Consider the following 22,056-nt stretch of genomic DNA (forward strand, 5'->3'; position numbering starts at 1 on the left):
ACTCTTATTACAAGGTAGGGCCACAGACCCCTCAAATTTCCCACACTAGCCTTTAGCTTCAGAAGCACTATGGCAATCAGACTCTGAACAAACCATAAAGAAAATTAGTCCACCCAAGATTCAGTGAGACTATATTCAAGGCGGTACAATTTTTAGTACTTTATTCTAATATCAGAGGACCAGAATCTAATCTATAGTTGTGGATACATCTGTGGAAATGCTTTCAGAGACTATCTGCTCATGCTCAGGAATCGTTGGGAGCTGGGAGTCCTGGTGGGCATGTTCATGCTTCCAGTTACTTCAGTAACTACCTATATTAAAAATCAAAATGAGAATCCACTTATTTACCTATTTGATGACAGTTATTAAAACTACCTATTTTACTTCGAAAATAAAAGCAAGGAAATATCTATCACCCATATGATAAGGCAGGGAAGATTTACACAGAAAATAGAAGCAGCAAGGTATGTTGGAAAGAGCATAGGCTTTGGAGCCGGTCAATCTTGGGTTCGAATCTCTGTTGTCACTTGTTAACTTTGTGATCATAAGCAAACCATCCTCTCTGAGCCTATTGATCTGTACAGTGTAATCAACACCACCCACTTCATAAGGTTACAGTAGAGAATACACGAAAGAAATGGGCATACACTGTGTGGTGAATATATAACCACTTAATAAACAGAAGCTACTAGTCATCTCAAATTATTTTTGGGATGGAATGGGAGTGAATCAATTAATAAATAGACCCAGTAAATGATACATGTTTGCAAGATTATTTGAGAGGAGAAAATTAGGAACTGAAGGCAAATTTGATTCCTGGGGAATAGGGGTCACATCTCCCTCACAGCACCTAACAGAGGGCTCACTCTACAGGAGGTGCTGGCTGTTTAATATTATACACTGATGATTTTCAGGCCTCAAAGGAATGGGTAGATAGACGAAAATGAAACATTACTACCTGTAAATAGGAATAGGCATGGGGAAGCATGTTTAGTTAATCCTAATCCTTTGGCCTGAACATGCTTTCTGTCTCAGAGCAGTCTTCTTGCTTTTTATAAACTTGCCCAGCCTTCAAGGCCATGTTCTATTGGATCTCCTCCAGGAGGCCTTCCCAGATTCACGAGTTAAATAAGATTGCTACATGGCTTTGTTCTATAAGGAAGCACTTAAGAATATGACACTGTGTAATTGTATGTTTACCCCATCAGACTGTGAGCTTCTCAGGGCATGAACCATATGTCTGAATCATGTTGTATCTCTAGGGCCTAGCCTAGCATATAGCTCTGGCTTAAAAAAAACCCCACTCAGTAACTCTCTCAAGTTTCACTCATATCCATTTGTCTGATGGCTTTGTAAAAACAGCATACTGAGGCATAATGGAGCATAATGGAGGCAGGGGCAGGCTTTTGCTGTTTTTTTTTTTTGAATGGTTTCCCTGATCTAATCATCTTTCTCTTTTTAAATTCATTCTCCTTGTGAAAACCAGTTCTCATTCAGTTGTCTGCTTGCTGAGAACTTTCCATTTCTTCCAGGATAAACATTAGGCCCCACAGCTTCAATTCTTTTTTTTTTGTTTGTTTTGAGTCAGAGTCTTACTCTGTTGTCCAGGCCGGGGTGCAGTGGAACAATCTCGGCTCACTGCAACCTCTGCCCCTGCATTCAAGCGATTCTCGTGTCTCAGACTCCCAAGTAGCTGGGATTATAGGTGCGCACCACCTCGTCCAGCTAAATTTTGTGTTTTTAGTAGAGATGGGGTTTTGCCATGTTGGCCAGGCTGGTTTTGAACTCCTAACCTTAAGTGATCCACTCACCCTGGCCTCCCAAAGTGCTGGGATTACAGGTGTGAGCCACCGTGCCTGGCCACAATTCCCTTCTCTCTCCTCTTTTAATATGCCCCTTTAGAAAGATTCCCCTATTTGTTTCCACCTCTACTCCAAACAAGCCTTCATCTGTTTTGCTGTCATACTTTCTTTGTGAGAGGATTTTTCTTTGGTTGACTATAGAATATAAGCTTGATGAAGGGAGATAATGCCTGTCATATCCACCACTGTATCTTCCTGGGACAAATAACAGAATAGTGCCTGGCACAGATGGTGCTCAATAAACACTTGACTGAAAATATCCAAGCAAGTGGAAGTCAAACACAGAGCATTTATCTGAGGCCATGGATACCAACAGGTTAGGTATCTGGAAGAAGAAGACAGAAAGAAGGTTTGTACTTAGTGTTAATCAAGGTGTTTTTCTCTCCTGTTAGACAAAGAAAATTGAACTTCTTCATCCCTGTGTAGAATCTACACATTTCGCTCAAGCAAAAACAAGTGAGGGCTGAAGATGCTGATCTAGTTGATTTCCCAGTGTTCCCTGAAGCTTGCTTGATAAAGATTTCTAGGTCATGACCCTGGATCCTGATTCAGAAGGATGGAGTAGGACCCAGGAATCTCTATTTCACAGTAAGTGCCCCGGGTGATTCTTATGCTCAGGCAGGTTTGCCAATATTTGCTCTAGAGCAGTCTCAGTCTTGTCTACACACTAGAATTACCTGGGGAGTTAGAAACAATACTGATGCCTGGGTTCCACCTCAGAGATTCTGTTGACCTACAGTACAGCCTGGGCATGGGGTTTTTTAAAAGTCCCTCAATAATTCCAATATGCAGCTAAAGTGAGAACCACTGCTCCAAAGGGGTTTTTCAAAGGGTGGACTATGAATCGCTAACATCCAGAATCATCTAGGGTGCTTGTTAAAAGTGCAGACTTCTGGGCTTTCATAATTAGAATTTTAAATATGTTTATTGTTCATTATTTTCTCAGAGAGTGGCACAAGTTCAAGAATTGCTATTGAGGAACCACTCATCTAATCTACCCCACTCTTTTCTTGGCTGGGGAAACTGAAGTCTAAGAAGGGAAAGGACACGTTCAGAGTCAGACTCTAAGTCTGTACCAGAAGCCCATCAAGGACCTGGGTCAGTCCAGTGCTCTTTCCATTGCCCCATGTTGCTGTGCCATACTATTATGTCCCTCCTTTTCAAACGCAAGATGGTTAAAAAAAAAAAAAAAGGAAGAGGGTGAAAACAATTGGTCTCTATTTGTCATAGGGGCTTGTCCGAAGGAACACATTCAAATGCTTTTTGAATTAGCACCTAGTGACCATAACATCTCAACAAGAAAGGATCTGAGTCATACCTGTGATTAAGGAGCTGACTTGCAACACCAGGTTACTGGATTTCTCCAGGATACACTGGCTCCCAGGGTCTAGGCTGCTGGCACCTGGCCCAAGATGGTCCCTACAGCTCTCCTGGTGCTGTGAGATGGCCGTTTGAGTCTGAGGGCTGAGGGGTAGGAAAGGCTTGGTGAGCTTCTGGCGGAAGTACCTCTGAATCTGATCAAGCTCACTCAGATTCTTCCTATAAACAAAAGGGGGAGAAGAAGACAAAGGGGTAATTCATGGAGATTATGAACATCTCTTATGTCCCCTGGACACTACCGCTTGAGCCAAAGCCTTAATACCTCTCACTTGGTCTATTAATATACTAAGTCCCTCTCTCTCCAATCCACCAACTCATCCTTCACTCCTCTGACTACAATCCTGCTGCTGGGGGCAACTTTCTCCCCCTTTTGTCTGTCTAATGCGATTCCTCATCTGATGTCCAGCAAAAATGCCACTTCCTCAGAAAGGAACCATTCTTGACCACCATTCCAGTCCTTATTTCTGTTTACTTTGACAGAATAAAGCCCTACTCTGCGCTAACACTGTCCTTTGCTACCTCATAACCATTCCTGATCCTTCAGGCAAGCAACTTCTAAAAAGCCTTCCCTAAATTGGTTTAGGGGCTCCTCTTCTGTGCTCCATAGTTCTTTCTGCACTCTTCCATCACATCACTCATTTATTTAACACCTATTTCCCCTGATGTACGGTCAGCTCTGGGCTGATTCCTTTACATCTACTGCACCCAGCATAGTGCTTGGCACAAAACAAAAGAATGCTGGATGGATAAAAGGACATAAATAAGTGATTTTAAAAATCTGTTTAAAAGCCTTTAATAGGGCCACATTCTCACCATTCTCCAATAAGAAATCACACCAACCTTCACTTGCATAGGATTTTATGTTTATGCTTTTAAACATATTATCTTGTTTAATTTTCAGCTAATCATATGAGATCAGTAATTATAAATAAGCAACTTGAGTTTCAGAGAAGTTAAGTGACTTGTCCAGAGCAGGGAGCAGTATGTAGCTACTCAGAATCTGGGACTCCAAGTCATGCTTTTTCCATATGAGATGGACTCTGTTCCAGCTGGGTTCGTTCCTTCCTCATACTTCTGCTGATACTGGAACCCCAGTTCAAGCAACTCCCTGCTCTGTTTCTATTCCAGTCAGCTTTTAAGGTTGCAGCTCACATTTCTTCTTTTCAAAGTCCATTATCCCAAATCTTTGCACCACCTGTCCCTTAAACACCTTCACACTCATCATTTCACACATCAAACTTTTTCTTAGATTTTCCCTTAATTGTCTCATTATATGTTAGTTCAGTTTCCCTAAGTAGGCCATGGGCGTCTCAGAATAGAAGATATATCTCACACTTCTCTATTTCCTTAGTACACTCAATGTGCCTGGTATAATCAACACAGCATGGACACCAAATACCTGTGACATGAACTGAAAGTCTTTCTATCCTTTTGTTAGAAACAGTCTGCGTATCTTAGAGGAAAATCCAAATGAGAGGACAAAGTTGATCCTTATTCTATCACTAGAGGCCAAGACTCAAGTCACGGTGGTGTGTACCAAATCACTTAGGTGTCTATATCGTGGTATATGCCACATGGATAAACATCTGCAGGAGGAACATGCAAACAAATGTAACTTGGGGTAGCTTTGGGAAATAAGCAAATCTACTGGTCTTGTTAGACCAGTGTAGAACCATGTAGAACCATGGCATGTCAACCTATGAACACCAAGCTGTACTTTGCTCATCTGTGAAACACAGGTTTATTAATACTTGCTCTGCAGGCCTGAAATGATAGCTGTGATTCAAATGCAGCACTGTTTAAGGGCTCTCTGAATCCAAGGAGGTTATGCAAATTGATCTCACCTTGTTTCGCGCCCATTTGGTAAAGAATTCCTCTAGATAGTAGTTCTGAAAGCCTAGTTCTAGGACCAGCTGCAGCAGCATCACCTGAGCTTGTTAGAAATGCAGAGTCTCAGGCCTTATCCTAGACCTACTGAATCAGGCACTGTGTGGATGGGTCCTAGCAATCAGTGCTGTAATAAGCCCTTCATGGGATTCTGATATACACTAAATTTTGCGAACTACTGTCCTAGGGCAGTGGTTTTCAACCTGGCAATATTGTCCCTCAGGATACACTTGGCAATGTCTGGAGACATTTTGGGTTGTCACAAGTGGGAGAGGGGTGCTACTGGTATGTAGTTGGTAGAGGCCAGGGATGCAGCTAAACAACCTACAATGCGCAGAACTGACCCTCAAAACAAAATATCTGACCAGAATGTCAATAGTGCCAAAGTTGAGAGAAACTACTCGAAGGTGAAGGAGTTTCTTTTTTTAAGTGGGTTCCAAATAGGTTATGTGAATGACCCAAAAAAATACAACCAAATTATCAATGGTTTCACTTAAACAGCCTACAATCTCTAGCACCTTACTAATATGAAGATAAGAATCTGAACATATTACTTCTTCGTAAAATAACTTTGGGCAGTTTCCTATAGTCTATAGCAGAAGTCCCCAACCTCTGGGCTGTGTTCGTGGCCTATTAGGAACTGGGCCGCACAGCAGGAGGTGAGTGGGGGCAAGTGAGCTTTACTTCTGAGCTCCGCCTCCTGTCAGATCAGCAGCAGCATTAGATTCTCATAGGAGCACAAACCCTATTGTGAACTGCTCATGTGAGGGATCTAGGTTGTGCGCTCCTTATGAGAATCTAAATAATGCCTGATGATGGGAGGTGGAACAGTTTCATCTGGAAACCACCCCCCACCCCCAACCCCACCCTTGTGGAAGAAAAATGGTCTTCCACAAAACCAGTGTCTGGTGCCAAAAAGGTTGGGGCTGCTGGTCTATAGCACTATTGATCAATTTTTAACTTGTCTCATTAACCAAAAAGATTTTGTTGATGTTTCTTTTCTGACTTTGCATTATGAATCAAAGAATAGGTTAGTTTTTTTTTTTTCAAATATAAAGTCTTTTGGCCGGGTGCAATGGCTCACGCCTGTAATCCCAGCACTTTGGGGTCACGAGGTCAGGAGTTTGAGACCAGCCTGGCCAACATAGTGAAACCCTGTCTCTACTAAAAATACAAAAAACTAGCTGGGTGTGGTTATGGGCACCTGTAATCCCAGCTACTTGGGAGTTTGAGGCAGAAGAATCGCTTGAACCCAGGAGGCAGAGGCTGCAGTGAGCCGAGATTGCGCCACTGCACTCCAGCCGGGGCAACAGTGCGAGACCCCATCTCAAGAAAAACAAAAACAAAAACAAACAAACAAAAAAGCCGGAAGCCGCAGTGGCTCAGGCCTGTTGTCCTGGAGAATAAGGAGGGAAGCAAGGCCAGGTGTTCGAGCCCAGCCTGGGCAGCATAGGAAGCCTTTATCTATCACACACACACACGCACACACACACACACACGCACACACACACACCCCTTTTAAACATTTTTTCCTTAAATTTTTTTTTTTTTTTTTTGGTGCTATAACAGATTTTACTCATGTCAATAAAAACTGACAAACATGATTATCTGAAATCTGTATGGGTAACTTTTTAAAGATGGAGTACATTTTGATTGTAGCAACCTCCATATTGTTCTTTTAAGTGGTTACATAATGTTGATACTTTCATTTTTCCTTAAATTTTACATACTCTCCTCCTTTCCTTCCTCCAACACCTTTCACTTAAGAATAATTGTTCTAAGGGTAATAATTCTTAGTCTGACATTCAAGGACCTTCATGATGTGACTCTTAAAAAATTCACCCTGCTTCTTGCATCTTATGCTCAGCTTTTTCCTACATGCACTGCTGGCATTTCCCCAAACTTGACTTGCCCCTGAGCCTTGGCGTAAGTTCTTTCTGCACAAAATGTCCTCCAAAGACCAGTTCAAATGTGACTTCTTTAAATCTTTCCAGGAACAATCCAGAATATTAGGCATTCCCCTGTCTACTCTTGGCCAGGGAAATTGCAGCTCTTACTACCCTGCATTATAATTATTTGGCAACATGGCTATCTCCTCCACTGAGATGGGCAGAGCAAGGATTGGAGGTCAAGTCTATCTGACCCTGAAGCCATGTCCTTTCCACTGTGCCACACTTTTCATTAGATAAGCTAGGGGCTGATCTAGCTGATCTATCATCACCCTTTCAATTCTCACAGCGATTCTCTGGCTCAGGTGCTAACTAAACTAAGAAAGGAACAGAAAAGAGTTAACAGGACAGAGGCTGGTCTGGACGAAGTAAATGGTTGTGAGGTTGTGAGGCTGGTTATTATTAAGTTTTGGTGAACAATCTGAAGCTCCTACATTTACAGGTGCATCAGTAACAGAGCCCCCTGAAGGAATGGAAGGTCCCAAGCTGATACAGATTCATCTATGAGGAATCCCATGAGGCTCCAGGGTCCAACCTGATACTAACATGCAAAAGAGCCCTCTACTAATGTTCCTAGGGCGGTGGCAGGTGATGGAAAAGCAGTAATGCACATTGCCATTTCTCATTCACCTTGTGCCCCACTATGGTTTCCTGTGTCTTTTCTCAGTAGAGCCTCACCTGAGAGAAGTCAGAATGGAGGTTTGGGAGGACAAAGGTGATGTGGTCAGTTTGTCATCACATGGCAAGGGTGCCTCTCCCTGAAGATGCAGGGATTCATGAAACCGGCGAATGTTCTGCACATGCTCTTCATGGCGTGATGCTTGGCTTCTTGTGGTATCACTTCTGTCAAAAAAAAAAAAAAAAAAAGTAGGAGCAAAATAAATTCCCAATCAATGAGAACACTGCTAGTGTGACAATAAACAAATCACTATCCTGAAATGGAATGCAAATCTATCCCCACTATCACAGTTCTGGCCTTATCATCTCTTGCTTGGATTATAAATGTCTCCAAAATAATCCTGTCTTCAATCTTGCCTACCCCCTTTTAACTCATTCTTCACAACAAGCAGAGTGATTTTTCTAAAACATAAATCTGGCCGGGGGTGGTGACTCACGCCTGTAATCCCAGCACTTTGGGGGGCTGAGGTGGGTGGTTCACTTGAGGCCAGAAGTTCGAGACCAGCCTGGTCAATATGGCGAAACCCTGTCCCTACTAAAAGCACAAAAATTAGCTGGGTGTGGTGGCAGGCGCCTGTAATCCCAGCTACGCCAGAGGCCATGGCAGGAGAATCACTTGAACCTGGGAAGTGGAGGCTGCAGTGAGCAGAAATCATGCCACTGCACTCCAGCCTGGGAGACAGAGTGAGACTCTGTCTTAAAAAAAAAAAAGCCCCCCAAAACCAAAAACCATAAATCTGAAGTAATAATAACAAGAGCAACAATAACAACAATATATTTGGCGTCCTTATTATATGCCAAGCCCTGCTGTAAGCATTCAACATATATTACGCCATGTGATTATCACCATTCCTTTCTGGCTTTGGCTTTTAAACAAATCTCAAATTCCTGAGCATGATATTCAAGATCATGACTCCAACAATCTCTTTTTAATTCACCGCTTTATTGAGATATAATTCACATGCCATACAATTCACCTATTTAAAGTGTATTATTCAATGGTTTTTAGTATATGCAGTTACGTAACTGTTACCACAATCAGTTTTAGAACATTTTTACCACTCACAAAACAACCTCATACCCATTAGAACCATTCTACATTTCCTGGTCCTAGGCAACTACTAATTTATTTTCTGCCTCAATAGGTTTGCCCATTCTGGATATTTCATATAAATGGAATCATATAATATGTGTTTTTTGGTGACTGGCTTCTTTCATTTAGCATAATGTTTTCAAGCTTCATCTGTAGTACAGCATGTATCAGTCCTTCATTCCTTTTTACAGCTGAATAATATTCTGTTGGATAGATATACCACATTTTGTTTATCTACTCAGTTGACGGGCATGAGTTGCTTCTACTTTTTGGTTATTAGGAATAATGCTACAAACATACGTGTACAAGTTTTTGTGTGGACATTTGTTTTCATTTCTTTTGGGCATAAAACTAGAAGCAGAATTACTGGGTCATATGGTTACTCCATGTTTAAGGAACTTCCAGATTATTTTCCAATGCACCTGCAGTGTTTTACTATCCCACCGGCAATGTATAAGGGTTCCAATTTATCTACCCCTTCCTAAGGCTTGAGATATCTTTTTTTTTTTTTAAATACAGTCACCCTAGTGGATATAAAGTGGTACCTCATTGTGGTTTTGATTTGCATCTTTTACTGTGATTATTGGCCATTTGTATATCTTTTTTTGAAGAAATGTCTATTCAGATCCTTTGCCCATTTTTAAACTGGTTATTTGCTTTTTATTATTGAGTTGTAAGAGTTCTTTATATATTCTATATATTATTTTGAGACAGGGTCTCACTTTGTCTTCCAGGCTGGAGTGCATGGCTCAATGCAGCCCTGACCTCCTGGGCTCAAGTGATCTTCCCACCTCAGCCTCCTAAGTAGCTGAGACCACAGATGTGCACCACCAAGTCTGAGTAGTTTTTTAATTTTTTGTGGAGATGGGCTCTCACCATGTTGCCCATCTCTATAAAAAATAATAACATGGTCTTGACCTCCTGAGTTCAAGCGATCCTCCCACCGCAGCCTCCCCAAGTGCTGGGATTACAGGTGTGAGCCACTGCACCCAGTCCCCTTTATATGTTCTAGATATAAGATCTATAACTGGCCGGGCACAGTGGCTCACGCCTGTAATCCCAGCACTTTGGGAGGCCGAGGCAGGTGGATCACAAGGTCAAGAGATCGAGACCATAGTGACCAATATGGTGAAACCCTGTCTCTACTAAAAATACAAAAATTAGCTGGTGTGGTGGCGTGCACCTGTAGTCCCAGCTACTAGGGAGGCTGAGGCAGGAGAATCGCTTGAACCCGGGAGGTGGAGGTTGCAGTGGGCCAAGATCGTGCCACTGCACTCCAGCCTGGCAACACAGCAAGACTGTCTCAAAAAAAAAAAAAAGAGCTATAATTTGCAAATATTTTCTCCCATTCTATGGGTTGTCTTTTCACTTTCTTGATGGTATCACTTGCAGTGTAAAAATTCCAGTTTTAAAATTTTTATTTATTTTTATAATTTCAATTTGTATTTTAGATCTGAGGGTGTATGTGCAGGATGCTGAGGTTTGGGGTTTGAATGATCCCATCACCCAGGTACTAAGCATATTACCTAACAGTCAGTTTTTCAACTTTTGTCCTCCTCCCTTTCTCCTTCCTTTAGTAGTCCCTAGTTTCTTTTGTTGACTTTTTTATGTCTATGAATACCCAATGCTTAGCTGCCACTTATAAGAGAGAACATGTGGTATTTGGTTTTCTGTTCTTGTGTTAATTCGCTTAGGATAATGGCCTCCAGCTGCATCCACGTTGCTGCAAAGAACATGATTTTGTTCTTTTTTTTTTTTAATGGCTGTGAGAGTTTTTAATTTTGATGAATCTAATTTTTTTCTTTTGTTATTTGTGCTTTTGGTGTCATTTCCTAAGGAATCATTGTCTAATCCAAGCTCATGAAGATTTACTCCTCTGCTTCCTAGGAAGAGTTTTATAGTTTTAGTTTTTACATTTAGATATGTGACCCATTTGAAGTTAATTTTTGTGTATGGTTTGAGGAAGGGGTCCAACTTCAATCACTTGCATGTGGATACCTAGTTGTTCCAGCACCATTTATAGAAAAGACTAGTCTTTCCTCATTAGTCTTGGCATCCTTGTTGAAAATTAGTTGACCACAGACACATGGGTTTATTTTGAGATTATCAATTCAATTCCACTGATTTATATTTCTATCCTCATTCCAGTACTGTTTTGCTTACAGTAGCATTGTAGTAAGCTTTGGAATTAGGGACTCTGTTCTTTTTCAAGGTTGTTTTGCCTATTCCATGTGCCTTGAATTTCCATACTAATTTTAAGATCAGCTTGTCCATTTCCACAAAGCCAGCAGGAATTTTGATAGGGATTGTGTTGAATCTGTAGATCAACGTGGAGAATATTGCCATCGTAAAAATATTAAGTCTGTTAATCCATAGATATGGGATGTCTTTGATTTTATTTAGACCTTTTTCAATTTTCTTTTTTCTTTCCTTTTTTTTTTGGCAGACAGGGTCTTACTCTGTTGCCTAGGCTGGAGTGCAATGGCATGAACATGGCTCACTGTAGCCTCGACCTCCTGGGCTCAAGCAATTCTCCTGCTTCAGTCTCCCGAGTAGCTGGGACTGCAGGCATGCACCACTATGCCTGGCTAATTTTTTTGATTTTTTGTAGAGATAGGGTTTCACTTTGTTGCCCAGGCTGGTCTCGAACTCCTGAGCTCAAGCAATCCTCTCACCTTGGTCTCCCAAAGTGCTGGAATTACAGGCATGAGAGACCACGCCCAGCCTCAATTTCATTTTTGGTTATTCATTGTTGGTATATAGAAATACAATTGATTTTGCTTATTATGTTTTAAAAGTTTCTGTTTCAATTTCTAATATGGTAAAAATTGATAGATATAACCCACATAAACCCGTTTGGGTCATCACTAATTTTTAATAGTATAAAAGGGTTTTGAAGTGAAAATGTTTAAGAACCACTGCTTTATTAATGTGTAACTGACATAAAATAAACTTTACATATTTAAAGAATACAATTTGATGAATTTTAACACATGTATACATCCAAATAAACCATTACCATGAAATAATGAATATATCTACCATCTCCAAAAGTTTCTTCTTGTCTTTTGCAATTCCTTCCTCCTTTCCTCCTTATCCACCCTGCCTTGTCCCTAGGCAACCACTGATTTGCTTTCTGTCACTATAGGTTAGGATGCATTTTCTAGGATTTTATATAAATGGAATCATATACAAGGTACTTTTTATTATTTTAAGAGACAGGTTCTCACTCTGTCACTCAGGCTGAAGTGCAGTGGTGTGATCATAGCTCACTGCACCCTTAAGTACCTGGGCTCAAGTGAGCCTCCTGCCTCAACCTCCTGAGTAGCTAGGACTACAGGCAGGCAAATTTTTAATTTTTTTGTGGAGATGGGGTCTCACTATGTTGTCCAGGATCATCTTGAACTCCTGGCCTCAAGCGATCCTCCCATCTCAGCCTCCTAAAGCACTGAGATTAAAGGCCTGAGTCACCATGGCTGGCCCAATGTACTCTTTTTCGTCTAGCTTCTCTTCCTCAGCATAATTATTTTTATATTCATTTTGTTGTCTATCAGTAATGCATTTCTTCTTGTTTTTGAGTAGTATTAATATTTCATTGTATGGATATACGACAATTTTGTTATTTGTTCACCTCTTTGTTGATGGACACCTGAGTTGTTTATAGTTTTTGGTTATTACAAATAAAGCACAAAGACCAGAAAGTTTGGAAACTGCTGTTCTACGCATTTCACAAGTATTATTAGTAATAAAACCTCTCTCTTAAGGCTGCTGTGAAAACCCAGTGAGCTAATGTATATAAAGTCCATATAAAAGTGAGTTATTTCTATTCTCATTTACTCTTTGTAACAGCCCTTGAGGTACTATATTATTTTCATCCTACAAATTAGAAAGCTAAAGCTCAGAAAACTAAAGTAATTAGCCTCAGGTCACATGTAACTAGTAAGTGGTAAAGCCAGGATAGGATTCCAGATCTGTCTGACCTCACAGCCCACTTTACCACCCTGTCCCTTGAGCAGGGCAGGGTCAGGAAGAGCTGGATCTCTGTTAAGATGGTTAGAGAGTGAATTATAGCCTAGCCTTAAATGGCTGTCTGTATATAATATGACACTTCGATGTGGCCCTTCTGAAGTGGTAACAGGGACATCTTTATGTGGACAAAAGGCAAGCCATTAACCTTTTAGCTTTTAAAATTACTAAAGGGTGGGCATTAGAGATATCCTCATCCTACCCATGTGTCCCACTGTGGGTATGGTCAAAGTGACACTTTTATAAAAGAGATAACAAAGGAATTATCTAAAATCTGGGATCTAGGAATTGACAGATACATAGCTCTCTTTGTACAGAGGACCAAGGATCTCTTCATGTGGTGATCAAGTAGAAAACTATGTAGCCCTGAATTGGGCCTTAGAATGTTACATGATATTAGTGTCTTCTTGGAATAAAAGGGTCTGCTCAGTAACTGCTCTTGTAGGAAGGGCTGCTGTAGGGCAAGATTCCTTGCCCTTTCCCTGAGCTGAAGAGAAAGACATAGGAAAGACTCTGGTGTAGGCAGCGGGGTGCTTCAGATGGTTCTAGGGCCTGTAAAGAGGTAGAATGGAAAGCAGCAACCTTATTCTTAGACCCTGTCCTTGTATAGGATGGAACATGCTCTAGCCCTGAGAGCCATATGCATGTTCAAGGCTGGCTTGGTGAAAAGGATGGACCAGTTGCTTTTTGTAAAATAAACTGGCACATAGTTTTAGCAGGGGAAAGAAGATGTATTTCTCACATAGTTGATGACTGAATTTAGGGATAAAGGTTAAAGGCCTTTGAGGATAACAGAAACTTGTCCCTTGTACTGAAGTGACCCTTCTGATAGCAGTACAAATTCTAGCTCCTATCTTATAAAAACTTTGTTTTCATACGATCTTGGGGTTTTTGGAGTTGTGACAGAAGATCAACAAAGCTCTTACCCTGTCTTGTTTTTTCCTCTAATAAAGGAAAGAGAGAAATGATAAGCCAGTTCACACACTTCCATTTTTTAACCCCATTTCTTCTCATCATCAAGAATTCACTCACCTCCCAGGAGAGGAGAAATCAAGCTCCTTTGAGGAGGCATGAGCAAGTTGGTCTAGGGTCTGCCTTGCCATGTGGCTGGAGAATGCAGCATACGTATCAGAGGCAGGGAAGGAAAAGGGACTGTATATTGGGATCTGTAAACACAACAAGAAAAATGGTACACTTGTCACCATAAACCCATTCGTAACAAAGCAGTATATAAATAAGTTTGTAAAATTTATTGTGTGCATTTAATTTACTGAATACTTTGTGTTAAACACTGTGCTAAACAATTTACATACATTTTCTCATTTATAATCTTATGAGGCAACTATTATTATTATACTCATTTTACAGACTATGCTATCAGATTTGTTTTCAGTTGCTTTATCTATATTTATGCTCTTGTTCCTCCAGCTATTAATACACTGTAAATGCCTGAATGGATATCATTTTACATTTACCTTACATATGAGGATAATCTGGCTGTGAAATTTCTTGTCTTAGGACTACCAGGGTTGGGCCGAAGAAATGACCTTCCTATATTGGGACCAATGAACTCTGTTTTCTTATGCATGCTTTCATCCAGTATTTATGGATGACCACTCTGTGCCAGACCCTGGGCCAGGCACGAGAGACAGAGAGATGAATAGAAAACATAGTCTTTGCCTTGATAGAGGTCCCGTATTTTTGATAGTCTGGGAAATTCTTTCTTTTACAGTTAAACTCCTTGAAAGAGTTGTCTACGCTTACCGTGATCAATTCCCCTCTTCATATTCTTTCAATTATTTTTTTAAATGAAAGACTAATGATATCAATGTAACAGAGTTGAAAAACAAGTCAGTTGATAGAGTTTCAGATTCTATATGACAACCTTGTTTTATTTGGAAACTGCGATATAATTAATGTATTATACAATTCATCCTTTTAAAAAGCTCAATTCACTGGTTTTCAGTGTATTCAAAGTTGTGCAACCATCACTACTAACTAATTCCAGAACATTTTCATCACCCCAAAAGGTCAGGAGGTTGTTATGAGACACATATAGTATATAACGTATTCTATAAGCCGGAGAGTGCCAAACATGAGTAAAGGATGTTCTTATAGGTCAGTACAATTCGTATTGGTTAGGGATGTGAATCTCCATACATACCAGTGATTTTGAGGTCTCCACTCCACGCCTTGCTTGCCTTTCTTCTTTGAAGTGTATCAAACTCTCCAAAGGGGAGACAGCAACTTTTATCTGCCCCTGGCACTCTCCACTGAAGTCTGTGATGTTGTACCAGCCACAGACAAACTGGAAGCCAGAGAGAAGTGGGGAGAGGTCCACCGAGGCAAAGCCAATCACCCTCTCCTCATCTGTAGAGGAAAGAGAAGAGCTGGGCAATGTGGCTAGGCATGTCCTGCCACTGAGATTAGAGGGTGCACACAGAGAAGCTGATTCAGGGGATGGAGGAATTTAGTGATCCCAAAGCCATCAGAGAAGACAGATAATGAAGTTGAGAGGGACTGGCAACCAAAGCCTGCCTTCCCTGTTAGGAATTCCCTTTCTGTATGGTGGGAAAAAGCTGACAGGCTTGCACTTCATTCTCTCTCTCTCTCTCTCATTTTGAAAGAGATGGGGTCTCACTCTGATGTCTAGGTTGCAGTGCAGTAGCATGATCATAGTTCACTGCGGCCTCGAACTCGCAAACTCAAGCAATCCTCCCTCTTCAGTCTCCCAAGTAGCTAGGACTATAGGCACACACCACCATGCCCAGCTAATTTTTAATTTTTTTGTTGAGATGGGGTCTTACTATGTTGCCTAGGTGGTCTTGAACCCCCAGCCTCAAGTGATCCTCCTGCATTGGCCTCCCAAAGTGTTGGGATTACACATGTAAGCCACCCCACCTAGCTGGTCCTCTTGATATAGGCAATTAGAAAATAACACTAAATTTAAGAACTTATTTTTCCTAGGCTATCATGTCTCAGTGATTTTTCTCAGGGCAGTATGTCTTGCAATTATGGAATTATGAGAGATTTGCATTTTCCTATTTATACTTCTCTATATTTTCCAAATTTTCTACATATGCATTATATTTAATTAAGAACAAAGTGATGCAAATTAAAAAGGAAAAACAACTCCCTGGAGAACAGTTTAGGGTGCAAAATGAGTCTGGGCTCAGGCTCTTCTCTACATGGTAAGGGGGCTGCCTTTAATGACTGAGAAGATTCTCTTTTTATTGGACAAGCTACCATGCAATGACCTTCATTCTCATATTCTTTGCTACTTATTCCTCATTTCTGACATGACGTAGCTGGGGACACACAGGTCTCTGTCACTCCATGAATTTCTATTTTATATAGGCTCCATTCTGTATAGTGAAATCAAAGGCTGGATCTACCAAACACTGATACAACTGTAGGTCTATAAATTGCTTAATAAATCAAGGAATGCATATTTTCCAGAGGAGTAATCGTGAAGTTCCCACAGTTCCTTGGGCACATTCCTGGTGACACTAAATTCATCACATACTGCATAACATTTGTTTGGACAGCTTGCTGTCCTTTAGACTGGAACCTAGCTAAACGGTGAGAAAAGGTATTACACTATGTTCCCTACACTCTCCATACCTGGCATAACATCTTCCTGCATGAAAAACTTGATAAATATTCACTGAAAGCACAAGTAAACTGGCCAACCTAGAGTGGGACAAAGGAGCAGTGTGCCACAATAGCAAATCTAGGTATGGCTTTGACTGGAAAACATATTCCTCTAACTCCCTGAGCCTCAGTCACACACATATAATGAGAAGTACTGAACCAGATTCAAGATCCCCTTTGGTTGAGCAGGTGGCTCATGCGTGTAACCCCAGCACTTTGGGAGGTTGAGGAGGGAGGATTGCTTAAGGCCAAGAGTTCGAGACCAGTCTGTGCAACATAACATGACCCCATCTCTAAAAAAAACAAAACAAAACAAAAAATTTGTGGGGTATAGTGGTGCATGTCTGTAGTCCCAGCTACTTGGAAGGCTGAGGTGGGAGGACTGCTTGAGCTCAGGAGTTCACAGCTGCAGTGAGCATAATCCTACCACTGCACTCCGGCCTGGGAAACAAAGTGAGATCTTGTCTCAAAAAAGAAAAAAAAAAAAAGATCCCCTTCAACTTGGAAAGTTTTTGATTCTATAAACACTTGAAGCTGTATTCCCCAGAGTGGGGGTCAAGTAATTCTTACCCACTGGGGATGAAGTATGATGGAGGTTTCTGCCTAAAATGAAGGTAGTACGTCCTAAACATACTTGAGGAGTGCTTTGGCTAAGCAGATCACAGAGAAAAGGAATGGCTTGGAAGAGTTAAATTTAACATTGGATTAACAGGACAACCCACCATTCTCCCTTTGCAGTTAATATTCTAGTCAACAAGAACTTCCCTCAACTCTTTCTTGACTTGAAACTTTGTATTTGTTTTCCCCTCTGACTACAGTAAAAATCCTGCCCCTTCATTCCTCAGTTCAGGTGTGCTCCAGGAAGCCTTCTCTGACATCCTAAGTCTGGGTTAGACGTCTCCTATCAGAGTACCCTGTATTTGTCTAATCATACTATACTGTACTTTTTATGTCCCACACTGACTGTAAGCTCTGTGAGGACAGGGACCATGCCTGTTTTATTTTACCTTTGTATCCCTAGTACTTAGCATGGTGCCTGGCACAGAATAGAAACTTAAATAAAACATCTGCTGAACACAGCTTGGTTGGATTTGAGTACTTGCTATACTAGATGTGTTGAGTTTGTGTGGAAAAGATAGAATTAACCCATTTATGCTAGAGTCTGCAAATTTTTTTGTAAAAAATCAGACCTTGGTCATGACCTTGAGCAGTAGGATATAAATAACTCCCACAAGCTTAGCGTTCCAATAATGGAACACCAGGCATAAGTGGGCTAAGGGGAGAGAGACATCTACATACACTAAGTAGTGGTCAGTGTGGTCTAGGCATTTTCCTCACTTTCATTTATGACCAGATCTTAGCAAGACCCTCTTGAAGTCCTGGAAGGTAGGGAATGTATTTTATTCTCTACACTCCAATAGTCCTAGCATAGTACCTGACACATAGTAGACATAATAATAAAAATAGCTCCATTTATTAAGCAATAATTATGTGCCAAGTACTTTACATATATTATCTCTAATCCTCACAAATTCTGCAAGGCCAGTACTATTATTCTAATTTTATAAATAAGAAAGATAACAGGAAAGAGGTGAAGTGATTTAATTCGGGCCACATAGTTATTATAGTAAACAGCAGAGCCAAGATTTGAACTCAGGTCTGCATAAGACCAAAGTTTATTCTCTTTTTCCTGCTAAAATAAGTGCTGACTTGTGAACCCTGGTCTGCTTCAGAATCTCTGTGGTACTTTAGAGAGAAGAGAGAAAAAGCCTAGAAAGGAGGGTGGAGCCCAGCTAAATACAGCAAGAATTCCTTGTGTTGATTCAGAGAAAAGCGAGTTATGATCAGCTCTTGCTGTATTTATGAGGTTGGGTAGCAGTGGAGGAACTAAGTGAATCCAAAGCAGCAACATAGAACTCATCATCAAAACAAGGGACTCACAGCAGCACTCACCAACAGGAGCACAGGCAGAGAGAAAGGTCAGTCAATTCCCTTTACACTCTGATTTCTCTCAGGTCTTTACTAGGGTTTGAGGTTAGCTCCAAATATCACCACTGGCAAACAAAAAACTGTGACTCTGTAGGCTGTGTAGGTGACTTAAAACAAATGAAGATTTGGAAATCAGGGCCTAGCTGGAATCTTAAAGAAGCTAGACTTAGAGGAGAGATTTAGTGAGATAAAATTTTCTAAGCTGTGAGATGGTTAGAAGTCCTCATCACCTCAATTTTCCAAGTTTTCCAATCTTACTAGCATGGTGAAGAACAAACAGTGAAGGCTGTACAGCCAGTAAGAACTGGGTTCAAATACTGGCTCCACCAATTAATAGATATATGACCTTAGTCAAGCCACTAAATTTCCTTGGGCTTCAGCTTTTACAGCTATAAAATTAGACTAATTTTATTTTTACCGTCAAGAATTAGAGATGTTTGTAAAGTTCTTAGCACATTATTGCTCGGTAATAAAAACAAGAAAAACTGATACGGTATTTACTAAGTGTCAGGCCCTTACTTAATTCTCCAAAAACCCTATGAAGTAGGTACTATTATTAGCCTCAATTTTATAGATATGTAAATATGCACAGATAAGTCATTTACCCAAGGTCACACTGCTAAAGTAAGGGGCAGAATTGGCATTTGAACCCAAAGAATCTGGCTTCAGAGTCAAGCCTCTTAATGTTGCTGTGTTATGCCTCTTAATAAAACTGGGTCCAAAGACCATAATATCAGCACATCCCTCTTGGGAAGGTTCTTAAAATAAGAAAAAATATGTGGTTAGACTTTCTTCTTGTGTACTACCTGATAATGCAAGGGTCTTGGTTAATAAGCCAGAGTCAACAGAAGGCTTAATATCATCATACAAACGTGGGGGGAAGCCACTTGTATGTGGCAGGCTGTACGTTATGATGGTTGACAGATACAACAGGAAAGACTGAAATGTACTTGGATTTCTGCACTAAGCAGGTAGTCAAAATTATATAATTTTTAAGTACTTGAATTCTGTAGGAGAATAGGCCAGGTATGGTGGCTCATGCCTGTAGTGTCAGCACTTTGGGAGGCTGAGGCAGGAGATTGCGGCAGGAGATTGCTTGAGCCCAGGAGTTAGAGATAGAGGAGTTAGAGCCTGGCAACATAGTGAGACCTTGTCTGTACAAAAAAATAATTAGCAGCCAGGCGCGGTGGCTCACGCCTGTAATCCCAGCACTTTGGGAGGCCGAGGCGGGTGGATCACGAGGTCAGGAGATCGAGACCACCCTGGCTAACACGCTGAAACCCTCTCTCTACTAAAAATATAAAAAATTAGCCGGGCGTGGTGGCAGGCGCCTGTAGTCCCAGCTCCTTGGGGGGCTGAGGCAGGAGAATGGCGTGAACCTGGGAGGCGGAGCTTGCAGTGAGCCAAGATCGTGCCACTGCCCTCCAGCCTGGGCAACACAGCAAGATTCTGTCTCAAAAAAAAAAAAAAAAAAAAATTAGCTAGGCATAGTGGTATGTGCTTGCGGTCCCCGCTACTCAGGAGACTGAGATGATCATGCCACTGTACTCCAGCTTAGGTGACAGAGCAAGATCTTGTTCAAAAAAAAAAATTTTTTTTTTCTTACAGGAGAATAATGTGGCCTTCTGGGGGATTACCCTCTACCACATATCTGCATTCCCAGCACTGTCGGGAATGCTTCACTTGGTTTGGAAAAAAAAAAAAAAAAAAAAAAAAAGGAATGGTAGATTGTTAACAGGATGTGAGCTTATTTTTACAAGCAAGCAGATATTCTTTTAACAGAGTTCATACCTCCTTTATGCCAAACTTTGAAGACCAGGGTTTGTTGTGGGTCCAGAAGCAGCTCTTTTGATAGCCTATTAAGAAAAACAACCACTGTAAACTAAATGTATAGGAACTTTCTGTAGTATAAAACTTAGATTTGAAGAATATCTTGTAATTTGCAAAGCACTTTCCCAACACTATTTCATCTTCTTAGCCATCTTCTGGCATATATTTTTATCTTCACAGTTAAAATGAGGGGATGGAAGCTCAGAGAGGTGAAGTAACTTGCCAAGACTTGAAAACAGGCTCCCCTGACACAACATTTCCTCCCCACCACTCCCAAAGTTTCCCTAAGACAGAGGAGGAAGTATGGAAAAGAAGTTCCTCAACATGCATTTAAGAGTTTTACTGGAATGGGTAATGATTCCGCTTATGCCTTAGAATGAGAGAATGGAGAGAAGGGAAGAGGAAGAGAAAAAGAACATTTACTGAGTGCCTACCTTGGGCCAGGCATGGCACCACGTGTTTCATATACATTTCATCTGCACAAAAGCCTATAACATGGACATTATTATCCTTATTTTACAGATGATAAGGTTGGACTCAGAGAAGTAAAATGGTTTGCTTGAGGTCACTTAAGAGTCAGTAAGTAGTAGGGCTAGGATTTAAACCCTGGCTTGCCTGACCTCAATGCTACACCATGCAGAGGCAAGGCAACAAAATAAGAAAATGCCTAACTTTCACACCAGATAAAGAAGCTGAAGTGGAATCCACTGAACACCTCCAATACATTTATATATTACATAAATTACAGTTTTAAGTGACAAAGTGTTGGAAAGTTCCAAACCAGGTGCCAGTGCTCCAGGTAAGCAAGATGGAGATCTAGAGAAAACCAAGAGGCTTGATTTCATTCCCCAAACACCCCTGGGGAAGTGAATAGAGCCTACTTCCTGACCAATGAGCGGCACGGTGCTAAAGTGAAACAAATATTGGTCAGAGATTCTAATTCTAGCTGGGAATTAAAAGATTCACCTCTGAATGCTAGCTCTGCTATTATCACCTGAGTGACTCTGGCCATGCACTTAGCTTCTTCCAGGCCTGGTTCTCTTACCTGTTAAATGGGATAATACTATTGACCTGCAAGTTGCTATGAAGATCAAAAGAAACAATTTTGTGATAAAGGAATTATAAACAGTGCCATTATTCATTTTTCTTCCAATCCTGCCTCTGTTGCCAACAGACTATGTAGCCTCCCTGGGCCACAGTCTCCTCAAGTGTAAAGTGAAGAGATGAAATCAGGATATTGCTAATGTCCCTTCATCACGTTTGTGAAGTTTTGTAATTCTGTTAGGTTTTTAGGTTGTGAATGAACAAGTCACCTCCACTTAGAAGCTCAGTCCTCTGGTTTCCTGCCTTTTGGGGAGGATCTGATATTTTATATGAAGTACTCTGGCCACTATGGCCAGAATTTCTATAATTTCCAGTAGCTCACTATAGATAGCACTGAGTTTTCACTGCAGTTCTAGCTCCTGACTCATCCCAGCCTCTCAAATTACAAATCACTGAACCTGTGACCAACTGCTGAGACTCAATAAGTACACAAACACTGTGAGAAAACAGAAGACCAGACACCATGGGTATGGCTAGTGTTGGTGGACAAGAATTAAACTTTATAAAAGGTGATACAGTATAAATTCTAACAATGATTTTGTTACTATTATCATAACATTGCATCACATTTAATAAAGTTTAATTCATGGCTTCCTATGCCAGC

At 40.9% G+C, this 22,056-nt stretch overlaps 1 protein-coding gene across 2 annotated transcripts in view, besides 1 other annotated feature; it reads right to left on the minus strand.

The window, feature by feature from the left end:
- The window catches only part of C2CD3 (C2 domain containing 3 centriole elongation regulator), a 158,285-nt gene that overhangs the window by 21,580 nt on the left and 114,649 nt on the right, over positions 1 to 22,056 (minus strand). The window contains exons 26-31 of one of the 2 annotated variants that reach the window (NM_015531.6): positions 20,310 to 20,374; positions 15,040 to 15,245; positions 13,908 to 14,041; positions 7,757 to 7,921; positions 3,181 to 3,401; positions 145 to 311 (exon numbers count right to left, since the gene is read on the minus strand). In NM_015531.6, the coding sequence (NP_056346.3) occupies positions 301 to 311; positions 3,181 to 3,401; positions 7,757 to 7,921; positions 13,908 to 14,041; positions 15,040 to 15,245; positions 20,310 to 20,374 (802 nt within the window). In that variant the 3' untranslated portion in view covers positions 145 to 300. Of the gene's footprint in view, positions 1 to 144; positions 312 to 3,180; positions 3,402 to 7,756; positions 7,922 to 13,907; positions 14,042 to 15,039; positions 15,246 to 20,309; positions 20,375 to 22,056 lie in introns of those variants that run through there. The other variant, NM_001286577.2, reaches the window with a different exon arrangement.
- Positions 2,354 to 3,553: an enhancer, noted in NCBI's record as "CDK7 strongly-dependent group 2 enhancer chr11:73747696-73748895 (GRCh37/hg19 assembly coordinates)". NCBI's record gives its function as "activates an origin of replication core promoter dependent on BRD2, BRD4, P300/CBP, MED14 and CDK7 cofactors, with strong dependence on CDK7, by STARR-seq in HCT116 cells {active_cell/tissue: HCT116}" and the evidence as "EXISTENCE:reporter gene assay evidence [ECO:0000049][PMID:35650434]".

The sequence above is a fragment of the Homo sapiens genome, chromosome 11 (genome assembly GCF_000001405.40).
Source record: "Homo sapiens chromosome 11, GRCh38.p14 Primary Assembly".
NCBI classification, from domain to species: Eukaryota; Metazoa; Chordata; class Mammalia; order Primates; family Hominidae; genus Homo; species Homo sapiens.